Source organism: Homo sapiens, chromosome 5 (genome assembly GCF_000001405.40).
Source record: "Homo sapiens chromosome 5, GRCh38.p14 Primary Assembly".
NCBI lineage: Eukaryota > Metazoa > Chordata > Mammalia > Primates > Hominidae > Homo > Homo sapiens.
This window is the reverse complement of record NC_000005.10, coordinates 90,548,124-90,571,579: the sequence shown is the minus strand read 5'-3', so window position 1 is coordinate 90,571,579 and position 23,456 is coordinate 90,548,124. Positions and strand designations below refer to the sequence as shown.

Here is a 23,456-nt window from a genome sequence, read left to right as displayed (position 1 = left end):
TCAAAAATGTTTATAGACAATTATGTAACATAATAGCTGCCAGAGGTAATAGATAACAGCTGGGAAAACAATAAGCTAACTAAAAGCTTAAAAGGAAAGACTGGGCAATGAGACATTTATTGCAAATTTAAAAATTTCTGACATATTCCTAGAACCTAGAAGATGACACACAAGTATAAGGCTGTGCACATGTTCATGAAAAACCTGTAAAAGCCCTACATTCTCACCTCTGGCTGGTTTTGAGGCTGTGTGCAAAGAGGAAGTGAAGGTTAGGCAGAGTTGAAAATTTTCTGGCTGAATGCTAAAGGTATTCTTCAACACGCACATGGAGCTCCCAAGCAAAAACTGGGAGACTTACTGTTTCCCAGGATTTAAGAAAATCTCTGTCCACTCATTAGCTGACCACTAAGCTAACCAAGCAGAGACTGCAATGGCCACACATAACAAAGAGTACATACTTTAAAAAGACTTCAGAAAATTCACTAAACAAACAACAATAAAATCAGGGACAACAACAAACCCTAGGAAGAGGGAGAATCTGAACTTCAAAGCCATACAGTTTCTTAAAAAAGAAAAATACCAAGCATGGAAAGAAACAAGAAAATATGAGCAATACACAGGAAAAAAGTAATCGATAAATACTGTCCCTGGAGAACATACCAGATGTTAGACTTACTAGACAAAGACTTTGTATCAACTGTTTTAAATATATTCAAAGAACTAAGGGAAATCATGTCTATATAAACAATAAAAAGTATAAAAATGATTTCTCATCAAATGAATGATATCAAAAAGATAGTTTAAAAAAAAAAAACAGAAATCTGGAGTTGAGAAGTAAAATAACTACATTGAGAAATTCACAGAGGGGCTCAACAGCTGATTTAAGCAGCCAGAAGAGTGAATCAGTGAACATGAAAGTAACTGAAATTACCCAGGCTGAGGAACAAAAAGACAAAATAAGGAAGAAAGATGAACAGAGCCTCAGAGTCCTATAGGACTCCACAAAATATACCAACATAGACCTAGTGGAACTCCCAGAAGAAGACTAACAACAGAAAGTAGTTAAAGAAATATGGCTGAAGAAATAATGGCTGAAGGCTTCCCAAATCTGATTTAAAAACATTAATCTACATATCTAAGAAGCTCAGTAAACTCTAAGTAAAATAAACACAAAGAGATCCACATGTAGACATATACGAAACTGCCAAAGCAAAAGACAAAGAGAGAATCACGAAAGAGGAAGGAAGAAGAAAATTATCACATAAAAGTGATATCCTGATTAATATCTGATTTCTCCTCTAGCCTAGGAGGCTAGAAGGCAGTGATGTATTCAAAGTGCTGAAAGACAATAAACCAAGGATACTATATGCAACAAAATTGTCATTCCAAAATTAAGAAGAAATTAAGACTTTCCTGGATAAACAAAAAGTGAGACACTATGTGGTTAGCAACTTTCCTTTCCAGAAATACTAAAAGGAGTCTTTCAGGGTGAAATGAAAGAACATTAGAGAGTAACTTGAATCCACAGAAAAAAATGTAAAGTGCCAGAAAAGGTCACATGACAGATAAATATAAAAGATGGCATAAATGTACTTTTATTATAACTACTTTTAGCCTCTCTGATTGAAAAGACAACTACATAAAGCAATAATAATAGATTTGTGCTAAAGAGTATATACTGTATAAAAAAGGAATTTGTACCACAATAACAGCACAAAGCAGGGGCAGAAATGAAACTATATAGGAGCAAAATTATTGCACGCTATTGAAATTAAGTTGTTATTAATCTGAGCTAGATTATTATAGGTTAGGATATTAAATGTAATCCCCAGGGTAACCAATAATAAAATTAATGAAAAGAATATAATAAAAGAAACAACCACAAAATTAAAATGATACACTAGAAAATATCTATGTAAAATAAAAGAAGGCAGTAAAAGAGGAACAGGGGATGAAAAGGGACATAGACTCAAAAAACAAATAGCAAAATGGTAGACATCAATCCTACCTTATCAGTAATTACATTAAATATTACTGGATTAAATACTCCAATTAAAAGGCAGAAGTCATTAGAATGAATTGGAAAAAATGACCTAACTATATGCTCTTTATAAGTGATTCACTTTAAACTCAAAGCCACAAACAGGTTGAAACTAAGAATGAGAAAAAAAAAAAAAAAAAAAAAAAAAAAATATATATATATATATATATATATATATATATATCATGCAAACAGAAACCAAAAGAAAGCTGAAGTGACTATATTCATTACTATGGTCTGAATGACCTCTCCAAAACTCATACTGAAATTTAATTGCCATTGTAACTAACGGTGTTGAGAGGTAGGACCTTTAAGAGGTGATTACATTATGAAGGCTTTGCCCTCATGAATGGAACAATACTGCTATTAGGGGGGTGGGTTAGTCATCACAGGAGTGGCCTCCTGATAAAAGGATAAGTTTGGTCTAATTTCCCCTCTCTGTCTCACATGCTTGTTTGCCCTCTAACTTTCCATCCTGGAATAACATAGCACAAAAGCCCTTGCCAGATACCAGAGCCAAGTTCTTGGACTTTCCAGCCTCCAAAACTGTAAGTCAAATAAACTTCTATTGCTTATAAACTACCCAATCTCTGGTATTCAGAAAATGGACTAAGACATTAATATTGGACAAAATAGACATTAGGACAGAAAATGTTGCTACAGACAAAGAAGGATATTTTATAAAGATAAAGGGCTCAATTTATCAGAAAGATGTAACAATTGTAAACCTACAGGCACATAAAAAGCCAATCCCAAAACACATGAATTAAAAACTGACCAAATTGAGGGGAAAAACAGACAATTTAACAATTATAGTTAGTGACTTTAGTACCCCATGTTCAATACTGAATATAACGACTAAATAAAAGATTAACAAGAAAAGGGAAGAGTTAAAAAATACTGTAAACTAACTAGACCTAATACACATCTATAGAACACTTCACCCCACAACAGCAGAATACATATCTTATCAAGTACACATGAAGCAGTCTCCAGAAGAGATAATATGTAAGGTCCTAAACCAAGTCTCAATAAATTTAAAGAACTTTAATCATACAAAGTATATTCTCCAACCATAAGAGAATGAGATTAGAAATTAATAACAGAAAAAAGTGCAAAATGTACAAACATGTTGAAATTAAACAGCACACTCCTAAATGACCAAAGGATCAAAAAAGAGAGCACATGTAAATTAGAAAATAATTTGAGATTAATGAAAATAAAATCAGAGCATACCAAAACTTATGGGATGCACCTAAAGCAATGCTTGGAAGAGAATTTACAGGCACAAATGCATATATTAAAAAAAGGAAAGATCTCAAATAAAGAACCTAAACTGCCACCTTAAGAAAGTAGAAAAAAACAGGCAAACTAAACCCAAATCAAGCAGAAGGAAACAAAGAAAAAATATTTGAGTGGGAACAAATAAAATATAGAATAGAAATACAACAGAGAAAATCAACAAAAGTAAAAGTTGGTTCTTTGAAAAGATAATAAAAGGGACTGGGCATGGTGGCTCATGCCTGTAATCCCAATACTTTGGGAGGCCGAGGCGGGTGGATCACTTGAGGTCAGGAGTTTGAGACCAGCTGGCCAACATGGTGAAACTCTGTCCTACTAAAAATACAAAAATTAGCTGGGCGTGGTGGCAGGTGCCTGTAATCCCAGCTACTCAGGAGGCTGAGGCAGGAGAATCGCTTGAACCCAGGAGGCGGAGGTTGCAGTGAGACAAGATCGCACCACTGCACTCCCACTCCCGCCGGGGTAACAGACCAAGATTCTGTCAAAAAAAAAAAAAAGATAACAAAACTGACAAAACTTTGGCTAGATTAAGAAAAAAGGGAAGAAGATTTGAATTACTAAAATGAGAAATTCAAAAGGGGTCATTGCTACCAACTTTACAGAAATAAAACTGAGTATATAAAGCATGACCATGAACAATTACATGCCAACAAACTAGATAACCTAGAAGTAAACAAATCCCTAGGAAGATACGAACATCCAAAATTGACTCAAAAAGAAATTAAAAATCTGAATATGCCCACAACAATTAAATAGATTGAATTAGTAATTGCAAAACTTACCATGAAGAAAGTCCAGGACCAGATGGTTTCACTGGTGAATTCTACCAAATGTTTAAGGAATAATTAACATCAACCCTTCACAAACTTAAAAATATATATATAAAACACAAGACTTCCCAAACCATTTTATAAGGCCAGTATTACCCTGATACTAAAACCAGACAAAGACATTATGGAAAAAAAGAACCAAGAAAAAAACTAAGACAAGTATCCCTTATGAATATTGACACAAAAACTCTTAACAAAATACTAGCAAACCAAATCCAGTAACATATAAAACAAATGATACACTATATAACCAAATTAGATCTATCCAAGAATGCTACATTGGTTCACCATCAAGAACCAATTAATGCAATGTACCAAATTAATAGAAAAAAAGCAGAGGGAATCACATGATCATCTCAAAAGACACAAAAAAAGCACTTGAAAAAAATCAACATCTTTTTATTATACAAATTAGGAATAAAGGGATAATTCTCCAATCTGACAAAGGGTATCTATAATGGGTATCCACATCATACTTAATGCTGAAAGACCAAAAGTTTTCTCTCTAAGATCACAGGACAAGACAAGGATCTCAGCTCTCATTATTTCTATTCAGCACTTTACTGGAAGTTCTAGGCAGGACAATTAGGCAAGAAAAAAAATAAAACGTATCCTTGGAAAAGATAAATTAAACTATATCTACAGATGACATGATATTGTATATAGAAAATCCTAAAAACACCATACATAAAAAAATAAAAGAGTTCAGCAAGATTACAGAATACAAAATCAATATACAAGAATCAATTGTTATTTCTATACATTAGTAATGAAGAATTCAAAAATAAAATTAAGAAAATAATTGCATTTACAACATAATTAATAAAACAATAAAATGCTTAGGAAGAAATTTAACAAAATATGTAAAATAATCAAGACTGTGAGGTACTGGCAGAAAACTAGATCAACAAAATAGAGTTGAGTCCAGAAATAAAACCATACATTTATAGTCAATTAATTTTTGACAGTGAAGCCTAGCCAATTCAATGAAAAAAGAATGATTTATTCAGCAAATGGAACCTGGATAATTGGATATCTATGTGCAAATGAAGGAAGCTTATATCATATTAAAAATTAACACAAAATGGAATAAAAACCTAAATGTAAAAGCTTAAACTATAAAACTCTTAGATGAAAGCATGGGTATAAATTTTTGTGACCTTGTATCAGGCAACAGTTGTTTAGCTGTGACACCAAAAGTATAAGCAACCAAAGGAAAGTTAAATAAATTAATTCAACAAAATTAAAGACATTTTGCTTCACAGGACACCATCAAGAAAGTAAAAAGACAACCCACACAATGAAAAAAAATTGCAAATGATATATCTGATAAGGGATTAGTATCTAGAGTATGCGAAGAACTCTTATGACTCAATAAAAAACAAAAACAAAAACAAAATCCTATTTTTAAAATGGGCAAAAAACCTGAATAGAAATTTCTCCAAAGGAGATACACAAATGACCAACAAGCATATGAAAAGGTTCTCAACATCATTAGTCATTAAGGAAATACAAATCAAAACCCGAATGAGATACCACTTCACACCGAATAGGATGGTTAACATAAAAAGACAGAGAGAAATCAAAACTCTCATACATTGCTGGTGGGCATATACAATGGTAAACACACTTTAGAAAACAGCTGGAAATTCTTCAAAAAATGAAGCACAGGGTGACAATATGACCTAGCAATTCCACTCCTAGATGGGCCACTACGAGAACAAAAAACTTATGTCAGCACAAAAAAAACTTGTATACAAATGCTTAAAGCAGCATTATTTATAATAGTCAAAAAGTAAAACCAATGCAAACACCCATCTATTTATAAATGCATAAATGAAAGGTGGCATATCCATACTCTGGAATATTATTTGGCATTTACAAAAGGATTGAAGTATTGCTACATGGTACAACATGGATGAATCTTTAAAACATCATGCTAAGTGAAAGTACACACAAAAGGCCACATATTGTATGATTCCATTTATACAAAATGCCCAGAATAGGCACATCTATAGAGATAGAAAATAGATTACTGGTTTCCAGGAATTGGAAGGCAGTGGAGAAAGGTGGGATAGAGAGCAAAAGCTAATGGGTAGAGAGCTTCTTTTGGAGGTGATGAAAATGTTCTGGAATAGACAGTGGTGATGGTTGCACAACTTTTTTTTTGAGATGGAGTTTTGCTCTTGTTGCCCAGGCTGGAGTGCAGTGGCGGGATTTCAGCTCACTGCAACCTCTGTCTCCCGCGTTCAAACGATTCTCTTGACTCAGCCTCCCAAGTAGTTGGCAATACAGGCGCCCGCCAACACGCCCAGCTAATTTTTTTGGATTTTTAGTATAGACAGGGTTTCACCATGTTGGTCAGGCTGGTCTCAAACTCCTGACCTCAGGTGACCCGCCCACCTTGGCCTTTCAAAGTGTTGGGATTACGGGAGTGAGCCACCACGCCCAGGCCACAACTTTTTAAATATATTAAACGCCGGCCGGGCGCGGTGGCTCACGCCTGTAATCCCAGCACTTTGGGAGGCCGAGGCGGGCGGATCACGAGGTCAGGAGATCGAGACCATCCTGGCTAACACGGTGAAACCCCGTCTCTACTAAAAATACAAAAAATTAGCCGGGCGCAGTGGCGGGCGCCTGTAGTCCCAGCTACTCGGGAGGCTGAGGCAGGAGAATGGCGTGAACCCGGGAGGCGGAGCTTGCAGTGAGCCGAGATCGCGCCACTGCACTCCAGCCTGGGCGACAGAGCGAGACTCCGTCTCAAAAAAAAAAAAAAAAAAATATATATATATATTAAACGCCATGGAAATGTGTACTTTGAAAGGTGATTGTTTTTCATATGTGAATTATCTATCAATTTAAAAAACAATCAAACCTCTGCACTTCCAGCTATCTCTTTCTCTTCTTTCAACATTTCCAGCCAGGTTAATCTAATACGTGTCTGGGACAAAACACTTGTATTATTCATGCTTCTGCACCTTTAATCTAAGCTAGTCCCAGTCCTCTCTACCTTTTTCCACTCCCTCTCTTCCACCATTTTTCAAAGTCCCAATCAAGTCCCACTTTTTCCAGAACACTCTCCAACCTTAGCTTACTAGTCTGCCAGAGAAGGAACAAGCTCTCTTCATTTCATTCCTGCTCATCAACACTGTTGAAATTAGTTAAATAAAACTAATGATTCTAACTATAACCGTAACAAAAGCTTTATAATCGCAGATTGGAAATATAAATGAAAATCAATTCTTTCACATATGTTCTCAAAATTATACTGATCACTTGTAAGACATATCTAAAACACTTCTTTCTATTATGCCTTCTTTCAGTTAAACATTACTTGAAGAATGAAAAATGTACTATTTTACCTCCAAATAATTACACAAGTACATCTATGCAAAAACAGTGTTACACCAAAAGATGAGCTACACTGAATTGCTGGTCCATGACATGGATTACAGGAAAATATCATCCTAATTATCCTAACAAAAGGATTACCATACCATACAGTGGCTCCTTCAGAGAAATATGAGTGTATACATGAAGTATATTAATACTACCTAATTGTCAAAATTCACGACTAAAGAAGCTGACAAAAATCTTATTTTCAATTAGCACACAGTACAAAACCTTTATTTCCACAATATGCCTCAGAGCACTTATTCATTTGTTGTAACACTTTAGAATCTTTTCTCTTTTAAACCTATTCCCAACAAAATTCTTTCTGGCATAAAGGAATTGCACCTTCTTTGTTAATTTTGAGTCATGTTAACTGAATTAATCCCAGCATGTATGCCCTATGCTTATTGTGCATACTGCATGAGAAACCATTAACAGTGCACACAATGACTTTTTGGAGTTGCATTTTATTTGAAGCTATTGTATGTCTTTCAACCTGTGCCACATTTCAATAATGACTATTTATAATTACAGTCATCCCCTTATTTGCTTGGTATTTCATTTTCCTTGCCCTATGGCACCCTACAGTTGAAGGCAAGGAAAACTCTCTGTTGATTAGTTATTTAAGACCAGCAACAATAACTATGCTGGAGAGAAGGCTACTTGGAAAGGATTACATAAGACCTAGCACTCAACAGCCTCAGACAGAGCAGCAAATTATAAACCCAAGTACTTCGTTGCATGTAACCAAATTGGCTAGTTGAAATGCTAATTGCCTTTCAGCAAAACTGAAGACAGACAGGGGACCTTGTGCTTCAGAGAATGAAATGCATTTTTACTCCACTTCTATACCATTGTCTTGCTGAGAATCATTTGAAATCTATTCATAAAGGTAGCTCTTTCCCTAACCTTTAAAATGTGGGAAATTTATTTGGCCCCTACCAGCACCTCAGACATGCTGATGTGCCAAGATGCGAACAGATGGTTGGATTAAAGCCATGTTAAGCCCCTAATAAAGTGAAGCATGAAAAATCTCTCTGCTCAAATGTATAGTATAAACAAAGAAAATATGCCTAGGGAAAGAAGTTTTGAATAACAAATAGATTTATGAAATTAAAATAACCAGAAAACATAATCTTCAAAACAAATATTTTCAATGTAATTACATCCGAATGCATACAGAAAGAGCTATTGTCTCTCTCAAAGAGATGCCCCAACTTTTCTTTATACTTAATAATTTTGTGAGTATTACTTCAAGACTCATTTATGGACAATGATTCCAGCAGCCAGTGTTTCCCTTTAATATAAAAGAGGGTCCATTCTAGGTTTTCAGAATCCTGAATAAATGAATGAGAAATGCCCTATCAGCATCTTGCCCTGGCTTTGAGGTAAAGCCAGACTTACGCGTGACTGCACCAGAAAAGGGCCCCATGACCACCTGCCCAGCAGCTCGGGGAGGGACTTGGTCTGGTACATTTTTAAGTGTATAGTGTGTCACAGTAGAATCGGAAAACACAGCCTTTGTATTACCACAGCCGCTTGTGCCTCAGCTCCACCCTTCTCCTCCTCTGCCACACCTCACTCAGGGCAACAGAGCTGGGGTGCTGTGGCTTCATGTGTGGCCTAAGATCCTGGCATATTGGAGAACCCTCCATGCATGCAAAAGATGCTCCCTGTGCTCCCAAACCTACCTTGTGAAAGGAAAAAATTAGGCATACGATGTGAGGAAATCAACTTTCTGTACTACTCCATTCTACATGGAGTAGACTCTAGTTTATTAGTAGTATGTTTATCTTCATTGCTCAACAAATATCTTTATTTACATAAAGTCTGAACTGCCCAGGAGTAATGGAATACTAAAACTAAATAGAACTTTACTGTAAATGGTTTCAATAAATAATTCAGCTCTCACCCTGATTCGACAGGAGTTAAGAGAAGAAAGACCTCTCTGGCTGGCTGTTCACCAAAACCTTTAGACTGGGGAGGTTCTGGTGATTTTTTCATTATTTCTTTACTGTCTGAATTTCCTGCATGACTTTGCATTATCTTTGCACTCAGAAAAAAAAGTTATTTCCAAATCAAAAGAACAGAGTGGTGGGGAGGTAAATTGAACTGTGTGTGATACTTAGCTATGCAATTTGTCCCCCCAAAATCAGGGAAATACACATCCAAATCTCTCCATGGTAACACACTGCATTTTATAACCAAATTAAATAATTATCTAAGAAGCTCATTACACTTTGTAAGCATCATAAATTGTCTAGTTGCCCTCTACATGAAGTGAAAAATGGTGATGGCATTGTGCTTCCACTGTGTAGATTTCAGACCTGGTGCATAAAATAATGACTTATCAAAGGCAAACAGGCAACAAAGCAACTTATTCAATAGGTTAACCACTATGCTGAACCCTATAGATACTATATAAGAGAAATATATAATACAATCACTGTCTTCAAGGATTTTGCATCCTAATTGGGGCAACCTTGAAATTTTAAATAAAAGTAGGGCAGCAATATAAGAAACGGCATGAGGTGGCATTTGTTTGCGTGACAATAAATCAAACAATTAATAACCAAGTTTACCCATTAGGATACTTCTTACCTAATAGTTTATGAGAATGTATAGGTGACTAAAATATGTGGCCTTAAGTGCGTCTCTTAACTGTTCTAGGTCTCTTTTACCTCAAATATAAAATAAAGAGGTTGGTTTAGTTTGGCTCCAAGTCTCCTTCCAGTGCTTCAAGATTTCATGTTACATTCACAGCCTAAGAATTTCAGAACAATGAACGATCACACATTTAATCTAAGATAAAAAGTATTTTTTTGTGGGTCCTCCCAGGGCATAGATCTCTCTGCCTCGGTTTCTTCATTTGCAAATCAGGATAATACAATTTAATTCATGATCCAATATAAAATTATACTAATAAAGGGCTTAAGAGAATTCCTGGCATACAACGTATATTCAATAAATGTGACATACTATTATGATTCATCATAGGATATGAACAAAAGAGTTTAGTCACAGCTAATTCTACTCTGAACACCCTTTTCCCTTGGGTGTAAGCATTTTTGTCTCAAGCATGAGTACCTTCAAGTAGAAAGACATCTGACATACTTAATACCAGCATTTGCTTAATACTAGCTTCTGCCCTCTCACATTTTTTCTAGCAGTTATATTTATTACCATAAAACCATTTGTGTTACAAATATATCTCATATGATCACTTTCTGAGAATACAACTGGCATTCAATTAATAAATATACAGCATAAATATGTAACTTTTTAAGATATAATAAATGGAGACTGATACAGCACTTATATATTTAATGGTATGAAGACTCAGTGTTACATAATTTACCTTTGCCCCATTATAGACTCTTATAGTAGTCCAAGATTACTTCAGTTTATAGGCAATTTTAGCTTTTAATCATCCCATTCAGTATAGTATAGGTCCTAAGAGCATTTGGAAAAAATATTTGACCCAGTTCTTATAAACTGGAACTCTGGGCAAGGAGCTTAAACTTTTCATTCTTCAGTATCATTATCTATAAATTGGGATATACTACTATTCAATTTATGGTGGTATTGTGTTAAATAAGATAACCTATGTAAAGGGTTTCTAAGAATTCACTACATAGCAGGCATTCATTAAGGAGTGACTGCTATATTTATTCATCATGGAAATGAGAAAATGGAGATAGGATTCAGTCGTACTTCAGTTGTAAATTTTTAAAGTCTGTGTATCTTGGTTACTTCTTCTAAAAGTAATAATTTGAGAGATATAATATTTTTAGCTGAAATAAACCTTTGCAATCACCTAGTCCAATTACTTTATTTTATAAATGAAGAAACTAATGCCTGGAAGGATGGGTGAATGTCCGAAGTCATTGTGTGTTAATGGCAGAGCCAGAAAATTATACCTAATCACATATATTTAATATATTTTATTATAACACAGTTCAGAGTCTATTTGACATCTCCCTGTAACCTACATTTTTCTCAAATTATATAGGCGGAATAGTTCGCCACTTACTCTATGAAATTAACCCAGAATAAATTATTGGTGCTCATTTGTATCCTGCCTAAGATATCATTTTTTCTCTTCCTTATGATCTTTTGGGGGTTTTTGTTGTTGTTGTTGTTTGATCTAATTATTTTGATAAATGACACACAAAGGGAGAAAAAACACTTTAGTAATTTAAAGTAATCATAACTTCAGTAAGAATTTCTAATCATGCTGTATGAGTTAAGGTATATTTTTGACTTTCATCCTAATTCTCAGTAATTATGCATCTTTAAAATTTGATATCAGTTTCTAAAAGAGTGTATAGCATACTAGTAAATACATTACACACATTTTAAAGGCTGTGGATTTCATGAAGTGGGAAAAGTTGGTTTAAAACAAGTTACATAGGATAAGTTAACACACCTTAAAATCAATTTTCCCCTGACGAACACTGCTATAATTTCTTGATTTTAAGAAAAAAATCAATTTTGAGACAGTTTTTAAAATTAAAAATTTGTAAGTTTTTAAATATATATACATATACATATTATTCTATAGCTCCATGTTAATCCCAAGCTCCCTAAAATCAATATATTTCACTGAAATTCTTCGACGCAGTGGTTATTTTGGAACACAAACAAGTCTCCTTAAGTTTATCTCACCCTTCCCATTATCAATTATTACCTATGGCGCACCGTTCTTGGTCTGTTATTTTTCAGCAAGACTTTAAAATCAAAGCTAGGTAGGGTTCCGGTTTCAAACAGGCAGAAAAAGAAGAAAATAAACTCTTCACTCTGCTCATTCACTTCTCACCTTCTTTGAGATCAGACATCTTTGGAAAGGGCGGGTAGGGGGTGCAGGAACCTAACGCTCCCTGCAAAACCGCAGCCTTGGACAGAACCGACGCGGGCAGCTATGCCCCATTACCCGCAGGCCGCGGCGCCGGGTGCGCGCCCAGCCTCCCTGGGCCCGGCTGTGGCCCGCCCTCCGCGCCGCCCTCGCCGCCCACCTGCAGCAACAGGTGCTGATGCTGAGGCGCTCCCCTGGGGCTCAGCGATGCTCGCAGCACCACCCCTCAGCCATAGCCTACCTGGCCCCAGGAACACCGACATCCGCGCGCTCCCGGCGGTCCCCGCCGGCCCTCCACACACCCTCGCTCTGCCTCTGACTCCCGTCCGTACTCCTTGCCCGCGCTGCTGATTCTTACTACCACTACAGGATCAGGAGGAGGGCTCCATCCTCCTCCCCTTTCTCCCCCTCCCTTGCCTCCTCCCTCTGCATCCTCGCTCTGCTCCAATAGGACCCATGGCTCCCGGGGCAGCGCTCACCTGACCAGCGGAGCGGGGGTGGCCGCCCCGGGCTGCGCACTCTGCTCTCCGCAGCGGGCAGCCAGGTCCGCGCTCTGGCGTCGGGAACACCCTGCCTTGGCCATCCCTAATGGACTCTTCCAGCAGCCAGGCGCCTAGGCTGACCTGCCTCGGCTTAGGAGCGCGCGAGTCTTGCCTCTGCCTGGGCGTCCCAATGTAAGTGCGCGGTCAGTGCTTTCTAATCGTCTCCTTTGGCTAAACTTTCTAGTTGCCCCCTTCGGCACAAGGAACTCACCATGGACAGTGGTGCACACTGCCCTGGGTACTCCACTGTAAGCAATTCCTAGTTTTCTTTCAGGGAAAAAAAACCCATTTACTGAGTCTTTTTTCGTTCCTAAGAGAATGTTTCGTTTCACGTTTACCGAAGCTCTCCCTAAGTTTACCCCATAAGAATTTGAGCATAAATTGATGAAATATTAGAAAGGAAGGATCTACCCTCAACTGAACTTACAAAGCAGGGATTTAGGTCAACATCTGGGATAAATTGTCTGTCTCCTCATTTATAAAATAGGATTATTAATTACTCATAAGGCTGTTAGGAGTAGATGAATGAGACTGTGTGAAGTGCAACTCTTTACAGTACACCTGGCACGTGGTAAACCCTCAGCAAATGTTGCTTATCTTTCCCAGTACACAAAGGTAAAGGCTCAATGTCAGACCATACCATCAGCAATGTGCACATCCCCGCCTGCACCAGAGATTTTTAAAGCAAATGCAGCATTATTAGAATCACGGAAGTTTCAAACTGGGAGCAAAGAGAAAGATTAGCACTCCCACAGCAACTCACCGCTTTTTATAGAAAAAAAAAATGGGTTCTCAGCCTCCTCATTTTAAATGCAGCTCACACAAGTACTCTTCTTAATTGGAATAGGAATAACTAGATACTTTGTGTTACATACTGCCGTCCAGGGGCACTCATTTAGCGTTATTATGAGCTGTTGCTGAGCACCTCCTCTGAAAGCTGCAATACTCAACAAACAGCTGGGTATCAAACGGCAAGTTTGTTGAGACTAAATGATTCTTATACAGAAACCGTGTGGGAATGCAAATGACACATCAAGGCGCTGCAAAAGGTGGGGAGAATAGCAACCTAGGTGATCCAGGAGATTGAACAGCTTTCCTGTGAGGCTCAACAACAAAGGTCGGACCTGGGTCTGGAGGCTTTAAATCCACGAGCATATCAACGGAGTAGACACAGACAGACATGCTTACTAAATCCTGCCATATATGAACGGTAACTTCAAAGCAACTTAAAGTGAAAACTGTGAATCAATTATCCATGTAGTCACATGTAAAACAGAAAACAATAACAGAAAAATGTTTTCTTCCTGATTATTTAAAACGTCTTACTAAAATGTATATTCAACCCACAGTGTTGTTTTATTAGCGTTTGTAAAGGCTTTATTTGTGGCTAAATACCCTGGCAAAGTCAACGTCTACCAACCAAATATTCCATCTTAATTTTTGTTTCACCAAGTCCCATGATTAAACACATTCCCCACAACTGGACTTCCTCAGCTTGCATATTTACTTTGTGTATGACATTACCCTAGGCACTGTGATGAGTAAATGAAAATTTACACCCTCACCCAATCTACCTCAGGGAACTAGGTAATTAACAATTATTACTAAGTGTTTAGGAAGCAGAAGACTCTGTAAGGCACTGTGGGAAAAACAGTGATCTCTAAAACCACCCTAAGTTTATTAATTTGCACTCTTTCTGGGGTGAAAGTTAATCAACCGAAAAGCAGAATATGCCATGCAAAAAACAAGCCACTCAAGTGCTAGAAATCTCTAGGAAGAAGAGAGTGTATGGATTGCTGAAGGCTTCTCCAAAAAGCTTTGCTTTGAAGAATAAAACCACAAGAAACAACATAGTTGGTAATTGTGGTACAAATACTTGACAAAGTAGTGTAGATACTCTCAAATGCTGAAATTATTAAACAAATGCTCATTGAACTTAAATCCAAACTTCTTAACATGGACCAAGAGACCTCACATAATTCTATTTCTCTTTTCTTCTCCAGCCTCATCTAGTACCACTTTCCCTCCATTTCACTGTATTCCTATCACACTGACGCTTCTTTCTTTGTCTCAACCACAGCAAAATCATTCCTGCCTCCAAGACTTTGCACAAGCTTTTTCCTCTGCCAGGCACACTGCTTCTGCAGAGCTTCATATGGCTGGCTCTTTCTATCATAGACCTCATTTGAGGGGTAGCTCAACTATCTCTTCCTTGGAAGCACCTGCCCTGATAACTTTCACCGCCACTCTCAGCCACTACCCTCTTCTATGTAATTTCTATAACTTATCCCTAATAAATATCCCATTTACTTATTAAGATATTTAGGTGTTTTTGTCTCCCCATAAAAATGAAAGCTGCATGGGGGTAGCTTGCATGTCTCTGTCATTTGCTGCTCTATACTCAGTAGCTAGAATAGTCTCTGGGATATAGTAGAAACTCAGTACATGAAGGAAGGAAGGAAAGGAGGAAGGGAGGGAGGGAAGAGGTAAGAAGGGAGGGATGGAAGGAAGGGAGGAAGGAAAAGGAAGGAAGGGCCTGAAAGCCTGTCATATTAAAAAGTTTCCCAGAGCCCATTTTTCATTTCTTTATATTTCACAATCCAACCTTACAAAACATAAGACTTGATCCCATGTAAAATACAAATATGCCTGAATCAGAGATACTTTAAACCTCATCCATCATTACATCTTAGAGATCCTTTGTTCTTCAAAGGCTTTGATTTAAAAAGAAAGAAAGAAAAAAAGAAAGGAAAAGCATTACTAGGCACCTGGAGGTGGGAGGTGTCAGGTGCCACTGAGAGATAAGGGTGTTGAAAGGAAAGCTTAAGGTTCTAAAGACAAAGCCCAATTCCCAATTCTGCCTAAAAGCAACAATGGTAGAATGTAAGCCTTTTCTCCTACAGTAATCTTCATCAAAATCAACCCAGTAGCTCCAAATTTCACACAGTAAAGATAAATTAGTTTTCTTAAACCCAATAAGAAAAGTACTGATGTCATACAATTTTCCTTCCTATTCCAATTTAATTAGTCTTGCATACTAAGTAAACCTTATAAATCTTGTGAAAAGATCTTTATATTCCCTTGAAAATGGTATTTTTTTATATCCTAGGTTTCACATATCTAAGTTTAGGCATGCGTAAAGGAATTTCACCAAAGCAGCAAAATCAAGTTCAGGCAATATCTACTCTCTCTTACCCCCCAAAAGTAAAAGTAGGATAATACTTCGAGAGTACCCGAATCTGCCTTTAAAGGCTTTTTCTGTTTGGGCCCTAGGTCCCAGATAGGAAAAGAAAAAGTAGTGATTGTCAGGAGCCACGGACTTGAACTCCTCTTTCTCTCCCCACTCTTAAGTTCAGACCCACCTAGAATCTAAAGATAAAATAAGGCACCCAGTCACATCAACAGTCCCCCAACCCCACTGCATTTGCACACTAATATGTAGTAACATTCTCCATAGATTTTAGTTTATCATTTTAGAACTCTATAATTGTCTTCATCCATTTTTGCATTGCTTTAAAGGAATACCTGAGGCTGGATAATTAATAAAGAAAAGAGGTTTATTTGGCTCACAGTTCTGCAGGTTGTACAAGAACCATGGTACCAGAATCTGCGTCTGGTGAGGGCTTCAGGTGCTTCCACTCATGGTGGAAGGTAAAGCAGAGCTGGCAGGTGCAGAACTCATATGTCAAGAGAGGAAGCCAGAGAGAGAGCTGGGAAGTACCAGGTTCTTTTTAACAACCAGTTGTCTCGGCAACTAATAGAGCAAGAATTCACTCATGGACAGCACCAAGCTATTCATGAAGGATCCACCTCCTGGTGGATCCAAATACCTCCCATTAGGCCCCAACTCCAACACTGGGGATTGGACTTCAACATGAGGTTTGGAGGGGTCAAATGTCCAAACTGTAGCAATAATGAAAAAACAAACAGAACTTAAATCCAAGTTATCTCAGAGTCAGGCACATAAATAGGCTCTTAACATTCTTTAAATGAGCGATATGATTGGGAAAATAAGTGAGAAGGAGGCCCCATTGTCAGAACCTGATTCAGAATTTGTAAGTCAAAGGAAAGAATTTCCTGTCCCAAAGGGATCAGAGAATCCGTTTAACAACAAAGACTACTTTCAGCCTGAGAATCTGCTCCAGTGTCAGAAAAAGATGAATATTCTTGGGCTTTTGGAAATAAAAAGCCTCCAAAAGTCTGAGGAAGTTCCTAAACAGTCTTTCACACAGAGCTATGTGTTGGTACTGCCACTCACTCAGACACTCTGCTCCAAACTGATTTTCATTTAATTGATCTCTTGCTTAATAATACTTAATAACCTGCTGCCTCTAAGCTGCCAGACCTTGCTTTTCCTCTTCTTCCAATAGTATCATAATCCAGCTAGCTGCAATGCATATTTTAAATGAGTACCTATTTATTCAGAAGCATCATTAGACACTCAGAATATGAACATGAGCAAAATATGATCTCTGCCTTCATCTAGTCCACTTCAATAGGAGAAAGAAGACATAAATTCTAAGTACAGTGTGAACAGTTCTATCAGAGATATATAAGGAAAGATGATTCAAAGAAAGGAGGGAAGAGATTACTTGTTTGAATCAAGATGACTTCCCTCTTGGCTCAGAGAGAACTCTCACACCCATCCTGTTTCAGCTCTGGGACTTACTGTTATACTTCTGACAGAACAGCCAGGTGTTCCCAATCACCTCTACCTGTAGGACCTGGGTTAGCCATGCTATAACTGAGTCAGCAGGAAACATGTAAAAACAGTTTTAAACCTGTATGCCTAGACATCAGGAAACCTTTAATATAAAGAGCCAGATAATAAGTATTTCAGTTCAGTTTCATAGGCCACATAGTCTCTGTGGCAACTATTCAGCCTTGTCATTCATTGTAGTGTGAATGGATCCAAAAACAATAGGTAAACATATGAGCCTGGCTGTGTGCTAATAAAATATCTACAAAAAGTGGCAGTCAGAAAGGGTCATAGTGTACCAATGCCTACTCTATGCAGAAGCAAAAATTACTTAATTATCAAGTCCTTTTTTGATACTGGTATCTGTCCTAAATTGACTAACTCATTCAACAAACATCTACTAAGTGCCAATATTGCATAATGCCTCAGAGATGGAAAGGTGAATAAGGACATGGTCCCAGCCCACAAGAAGCTTTCTGTAGCAGAATTTGCTGGCTGAAGCTTTCTGTAGCAGAATTTGCTGGCTTGTCCCACAAGGTTCCTCTGCGTGTTACATGTTAAATATATTCTATCTCTGATTCTTTGCAAAAAAAAAAATCTGCACTGTTCTGTTCTAGGTCTTCATTTTTGTAATATTCTGTTTCTTCTTTCTCTGCCTAGTTTCTGATCAATATTTTCACCTGACTCTCAGACTCTCAAACCTGCTATACATCCAGATTCTGGTTAACTTCTTGCTTAATCTGATCTAAAATTCTGACTCTTACCAGACTTATGCCAAATTCCCCATTCTCAACCTCTAAAAAAATTCAAACAAGTATAATGAGCATCTGCACCCACTGGTACTTCGTGTCCAACTGCTATGAACATTGTATGATATTATAAACCAATGCATTAAATGAGGCATCTTCTGCTCCCCTGGAACTGGTGATTAGGTACAGGTTGGGACCAAAGAAACAAGTACATGACTTCTAAAGAAATCTGCCAACCATTCGGAACAGAATCTACTTCCAGAGCTTTCTTAGAGGTGAAAGGATTGAATATAGGACAATTACCTGCCTCCATAGTCACCCCAAGAAGAAGGGAAAAAGGAAAGAGGCAGTCATAAGTAGTTAGCCTAGTGGGGAGGTTCTGGCTTTTCTCTCTTGTCCAGAAAATTTGTGGTAGAGATTGGAGACTGTATTAGAGAGTGAGAAACAGCAACTCATTCTCTCATTGGATGTCAATACCTTATTGATCTGCCCTAAGCCTACCACTAAGAGGAAAGAGAATTTAAGAAAGAAAGATGGTAGGACCCAGAGAAGGACTGCAAGGGAGAAGCCTCACTCATACCTTTGTGCAAAGATGTATAGATCTCCCATGAATTGTGATACTATGTAAGCTGCTCATAAGCAAAATATTGCCAATACCTGACAAGAGAACAGCCTATGCAGCAGGAAGATCCCAGGAATAAGAGACTGTGTACTTCTGGGCAATAGCTGAAGGAGGTAGTTAAGGAAGAACATACTTCAAGCAACCATACTATGGGTTAGGCTCGCAGAAGCCAACCGAACTTACCTGTGTGCTTTTGGGAAAGTTAGTATGCTGGTCACACAGGCAGGAGCTAGTCTGTTATCAAGAGAAGCAACCACAACCCTAAAGAAAGGCACTGTTCCTATAAGCATGTTAAATAAAAGGATGTTTGTCCTTTTCCTATTTTCCCTCAGTATCCAGAAGAGTTAGGCTTTGAAAAGGAACAGGTAGAAAAGGGGCTTCCTAAAACCAGAATCACCATACACAGTCTCTCTCTCTCTCTCACTCTCTGTCTCTCTCTCTCTTCAAATTGGTCTCTTGGAGGAGAAAGCTTTAAATATGGTTTGAGATTGGTGCTTTAAATTATATTGCAGTTGTGAAATCTGCCCAAGGGATCTGCTACCCAGTGAGAAAGAATGTAGGACACCTACAGAAGATATGGGAGATCACAATGCTGATTCATGTTGAACCCCACTGAATTAAAATTCCTCAGTAAACCAGTTGTCTCACTATTTCTAAAAATGTTGCTATGGAGAGGGACGCCGTGGCTCACACCTGTAATCCCAGCTCTTTGGGAGGCCGAGGCAGGCAGATCACCTGAAGTCAAGAGTTCAAGAACAGTTTGGCCAACATGGCAAAACGTTGTCTCTATTAAAAAGACAAAAATTAGGCGGGCGTGGTAGCATGTCCCTGTAGTCCCAGCTATTCGGGAGGCTGAGGCAGGAGGATTGCTGGAACCTTGGAGGCAGAAGTTGCAGTGAGTTGAGATTTTGCCACTGCACTCCATCCTGGGCAACAGAGCGACACTCCACTTCAAAAAAAAAAAAGTTACTATAAATTTCAGTTCCCCAATTTTGCAAAGGGCAAAAGCCTCAAACCACAAATGTGGGAAACATTCTTAGAAAATCATTAAAATAATAATTTAATAAAATATTAAAATATGAGTACTGTCATAAAATCAGTTTAAATTTGTTTAACTTGCTGTTTCACAAATTTATTTATAAAATAGCAAGATAGAAACATTTTTTTCAGTCTTATTCCAATTAACATTCAAAATACAATTTGGAAGTGCTGTTTTAAAGAAGTATTAAAGCCTTACTGTGGGTCTAACATCAAAGTCATATGAATTCCAGTGTGGCAGCTAACGGAAGGGGACTGAGTTTCCTTGGGGTTTGACATCCTTATGGCTTAGGGCCATGCCTGTCCATGTCAGTCCCTTCATGGGTGCAGGAGTTGTGCAACTCTTGTTCACGTAATTACCATTTACATGAAATCTATGTGACTGGTGCTCCTGGAGCTGTCTCTCCAATGAGGACTGCATAAGAAAACATGTACTTTATGAGGAGATTGAAAAGCTGGTGAAAGTCCAGGCATGGTGGCTCCAATGCCTGTAATCCCAACACTCTGCAAAGCTGAGGCAGGTGGATCACTTGAGCCCCGTAGTTTGAGACCAGCCTGGGCAATACAGTGAGACTTTATCTCTAAAAAAAAAATTAAATTAGCAGCCCAGCGCGGCGGCTCACACCTGTAATCCCAGCACTTTGGGAGGCTGAGGCAGGCGGATCACGAAGTCAGGAGATCGAGACCATCCTGGCTAACACAGTGAAACCCCGTCTCTACTAAAAACACAAAAAATTAGCTGGGCGTGGTGGCGAGTGCCTGTAGTCCCAGCTACTCGGCAGGCTCAGGCAGGAGAATGGTGTGAACCCGGGAGGCGGAGCTTACAGTGAGCCGAGATGGTGCCACTGCACTCCAGCCTGGGCGACAGAGCGAGACTCCATCTCAAAAAAAAAAAAAATTAGCAGAGTGTGGTGGCGCTGGCCTATAGTGCCAACTGCTTGGGTGGCTGAGATAGGAGGATCACTTGAGCTCAGGAGGCAAAGGTTGAAGTGAGTCATGACAGCACCACTGCCCTCCAGCCTGGGCAACAGAGCGAGATCCCATCTCCTCCCCACTCCCTGACCACCACTAAAAAAAAAAGAAAGAAAGAAAAGAAAAGCTGGGGAAGATTTTGGAAAATTGAGAGGAGTAAGTCCTTCTGGAAGGTATAAAGCAGAAGAGCAGAAAGATTTCAAGAGCTCAAAAATAGCTCCAGGGAGACATGACACCACACTTTCCCAGAAAGGAGTTAAGGTGTGAGCAGCATCTCAAGCCTTGGTTGGTTCTATTTGGACAAGGTAGGCCCACTGAAAGCTGCTTCTCAAAAAGCTTCATGGAGTGACCCAGAGGGAAGAATCTGAAGTGCGTCTAGGAGTCTGGTCTCCACATTTTCCTGTCTTGCCAAGGCCTTTGGATCTTATCTAGACTATGTGTGGGTTATCTAGTGGTGACAAATTTATCATAATTTATTATGACTATTTTGAAATCTTTAATGTGATGTGACAAAATCTTCTCTGTAAATGATTTCTTCCCTATATAGATGAAGTATACAAAAAGTAGTTCCTCTTTAAGACTGAGATGTTTGATAAGCCAGCAGTCAACCCAGATCCTCACAGACAACAGAAGTTGAGGTGCCATTTTAGAAGCTGAAACCACAAGCGTGATAACAAACAAACCCAACAAAAAAGGCTTTTCTCTTTGCTTCTTCATGTGAAATTAATACTTCACTTTTTTTGTACTTGTTTATCTTTCTCTTTTCTAAATTTTTTTTTATTTTTATACTTTAAGTTTTAGGGTACATGTGCACAATGTGCAGGTTTGTTACATATGTATACATGTGCCATGTTGGTGCACTGCACCCATTAACTCTTCATTTAACATTAGGTATATCTCCTAATGCTATCTAAATTTTTATACTCTCATGAAATGTTCTAAAATTAATAAGTAAAATACAAATGATAAATTAAGTATTATCTTCATGTTCTACTGCAAATATTTTAAATCTTTACCTTCCTAAGTTAAAAATGTTTTTTTCAAGAAGTCTATTTATAGAACATGATGTCTGAGACTTTGTGATATCAGTCACTAGTATGGTTTCTATTTCTAAAGCCATAGAATAGCAAAAATAAAAACATTTAATATGGTTAGGTCCAGATGATGTCAAGAGATCATATAGTGTAGATAGGTGGAGTGAACTTAGATTAATTTATTAACCTTTCACATTTTAGTTTCCTTATCTGCAAAATAGAGAGTCTCCTAGGACTCATTGCTCAGGCTTGTGTGTGGATTGAATGAGATAGTGAAGTCTGCTACATAGTGAGATTTTAATAACTGACAAACAGAAAAACAGCAAAATAAAACAAAACAGTTATTGCCTACTCTAGTTGTATTTTAGCTGCAATTGAGACAGTTTTTCTTCTCAGTTAACCAATTCAATATTGAAAAAACTACAGTGTTAATTATACATAAATAAAGTTAACAAATACATAATCGCATATATAATAGCAATTTCCCACTAAAAGTTTTAAAATAACATCTTTTCATTGATGTGAATTGCTCCTGCTTTTAATATATCTTGATATACTTTATACTAATAAAGAAAAGAACACATATGTAATTCCTAAGTAGCTCCATCAAATGAATATTAAGATCAAGTAATATCCAAGTATACATATTACTTTCCGACATTTATTTCCTTACAAATCTAAATATATGCAGCAGTAATAGTATGTGATTACACATATTGTATTTTTTTTTTACTGGCCACATGTAATACTTTATTACATTATTCAGTAAAAGACGAATTGAGTAGAATTTATGTCCTATGGGAAATATTTTAAATCTGTATTTCCAAGCTAAAAATATTTTATCCTACAAAGTATGTTTACAAAACATTTACAGAGAATGCTGTCTGAGACTTTAAAATCAATAATAGTTTCTATTTCTTAGCAAGAAGCACATCTCAGAGCAGTTTTTCTCACATTTTAAAAGGAATTCCTCCATAAATCAAACATAAATGTATATCCAGTTTTTAACTTTTTGAGAACAGCTAATTAAATCTGTTTTTCACCCCCAGTTGCCTCTGGTTTAGGCACGCTGTGTGTGGCACTTCCCATGGTTTGTCATTTTGCTTTAATGGCAGGGGGAGGAAGCCAGCCAGGCTCAGTAAGCACGCTGCATATCAAAATGTCGCCATGGCAGCGTTTGTCCACTTGTCAGAGTCCTTCTGAAATGACTCAGCCATTCATTTTGTTGAATCAATATTGAAGCTTTTGAGATTTATTACTTGAGGTTTGGGAGGAGACAAGGCAAACAAATCCTTCATTCCTAACTTCGAGTTCCAGTTGAGCCAAGATTATTATTTCTGTCTACACTTTATTTATGAGGATAGAATATAAGGTTTCCA

The 23,456-nt window shown here is 37.7% G+C and overlaps 1 protein-coding gene across 14 annotated transcripts in view, besides 4 other annotated features; it reads right to left on the bottom strand.

The window, feature by feature from the left end:
- The window catches only part of ADGRV1 (adhesion G protein-coupled receptor V1), a 605,641-nt gene extending 592,858 nt beyond the window's left edge, over positions 1 to 12,783 (bottom strand). For 13 of the 14 annotated variants that reach the window (NR_003149.2, XM_017009963.3, XM_017009969.3 and 10 more), the window contains exon 1: positions 12,663 to 12,783. Coding sequence is in view for 13 of the 14 variants with exons in the window: in XM_017009963.3 (XP_016865452.1) it covers positions 12,663 to 12,684 (22 nt within the window). In the remaining variant the exon portion in view is untranslated. Of the gene's footprint in view, positions 1 to 12,385; positions 12,523 to 12,662 lie in introns of those variants that run through there. The other variant, XM_017009965.2, reaches the window with a different exon arrangement.
- Positions 12,559 to 12,678: a silencer, noted in NCBI's record as "silent region_16170". NCBI's record gives its function as "represses an Ori minimal core promoter by ATAC-STARR-seq in GM12878 lymphoblastoid cells {active_cell/tissue: GM12878}" and the evidence as "EXISTENCE:reporter gene assay evidence [ECO:0000049][PMID:35858748]".
- Positions 12,889 to 12,998: a silencer, noted in NCBI's record as "silent region_16169". NCBI's record gives its function as "represses an Ori minimal core promoter by ATAC-STARR-seq in GM12878 lymphoblastoid cells {active_cell/tissue: GM12878}" and the evidence as "EXISTENCE:reporter gene assay evidence [ECO:0000049][PMID:35858748]".
- Positions 13,662 to 14,163: an enhancer, noted in NCBI's record as "NANOG hESC enhancer chr5:89853234-89853735 (GRCh37/hg19 assembly coordinates)". NCBI's record gives its function as "activates a minimal SCP1, AML or CMV promoter by ChIP-STARR-seq in naive H9 embryonic stem cells {active_cell/tissue: H9 hESC(naive)}" and the evidence as "EXISTENCE:reporter gene assay evidence [ECO:0000049][PMID:30033119]".
- Positions 16,515 to 17,315: an enhancer, noted in NCBI's record as "NANOG hESC enhancer chr5:89850082-89850882 (GRCh37/hg19 assembly coordinates)". NCBI's record gives its function as "activates a minimal SCP1, AML or CMV promoter by ChIP-STARR-seq in naive H9 embryonic stem cells {active_cell/tissue: H9 hESC(naive)}" and the evidence as "EXISTENCE:reporter gene assay evidence [ECO:0000049][PMID:30033119]".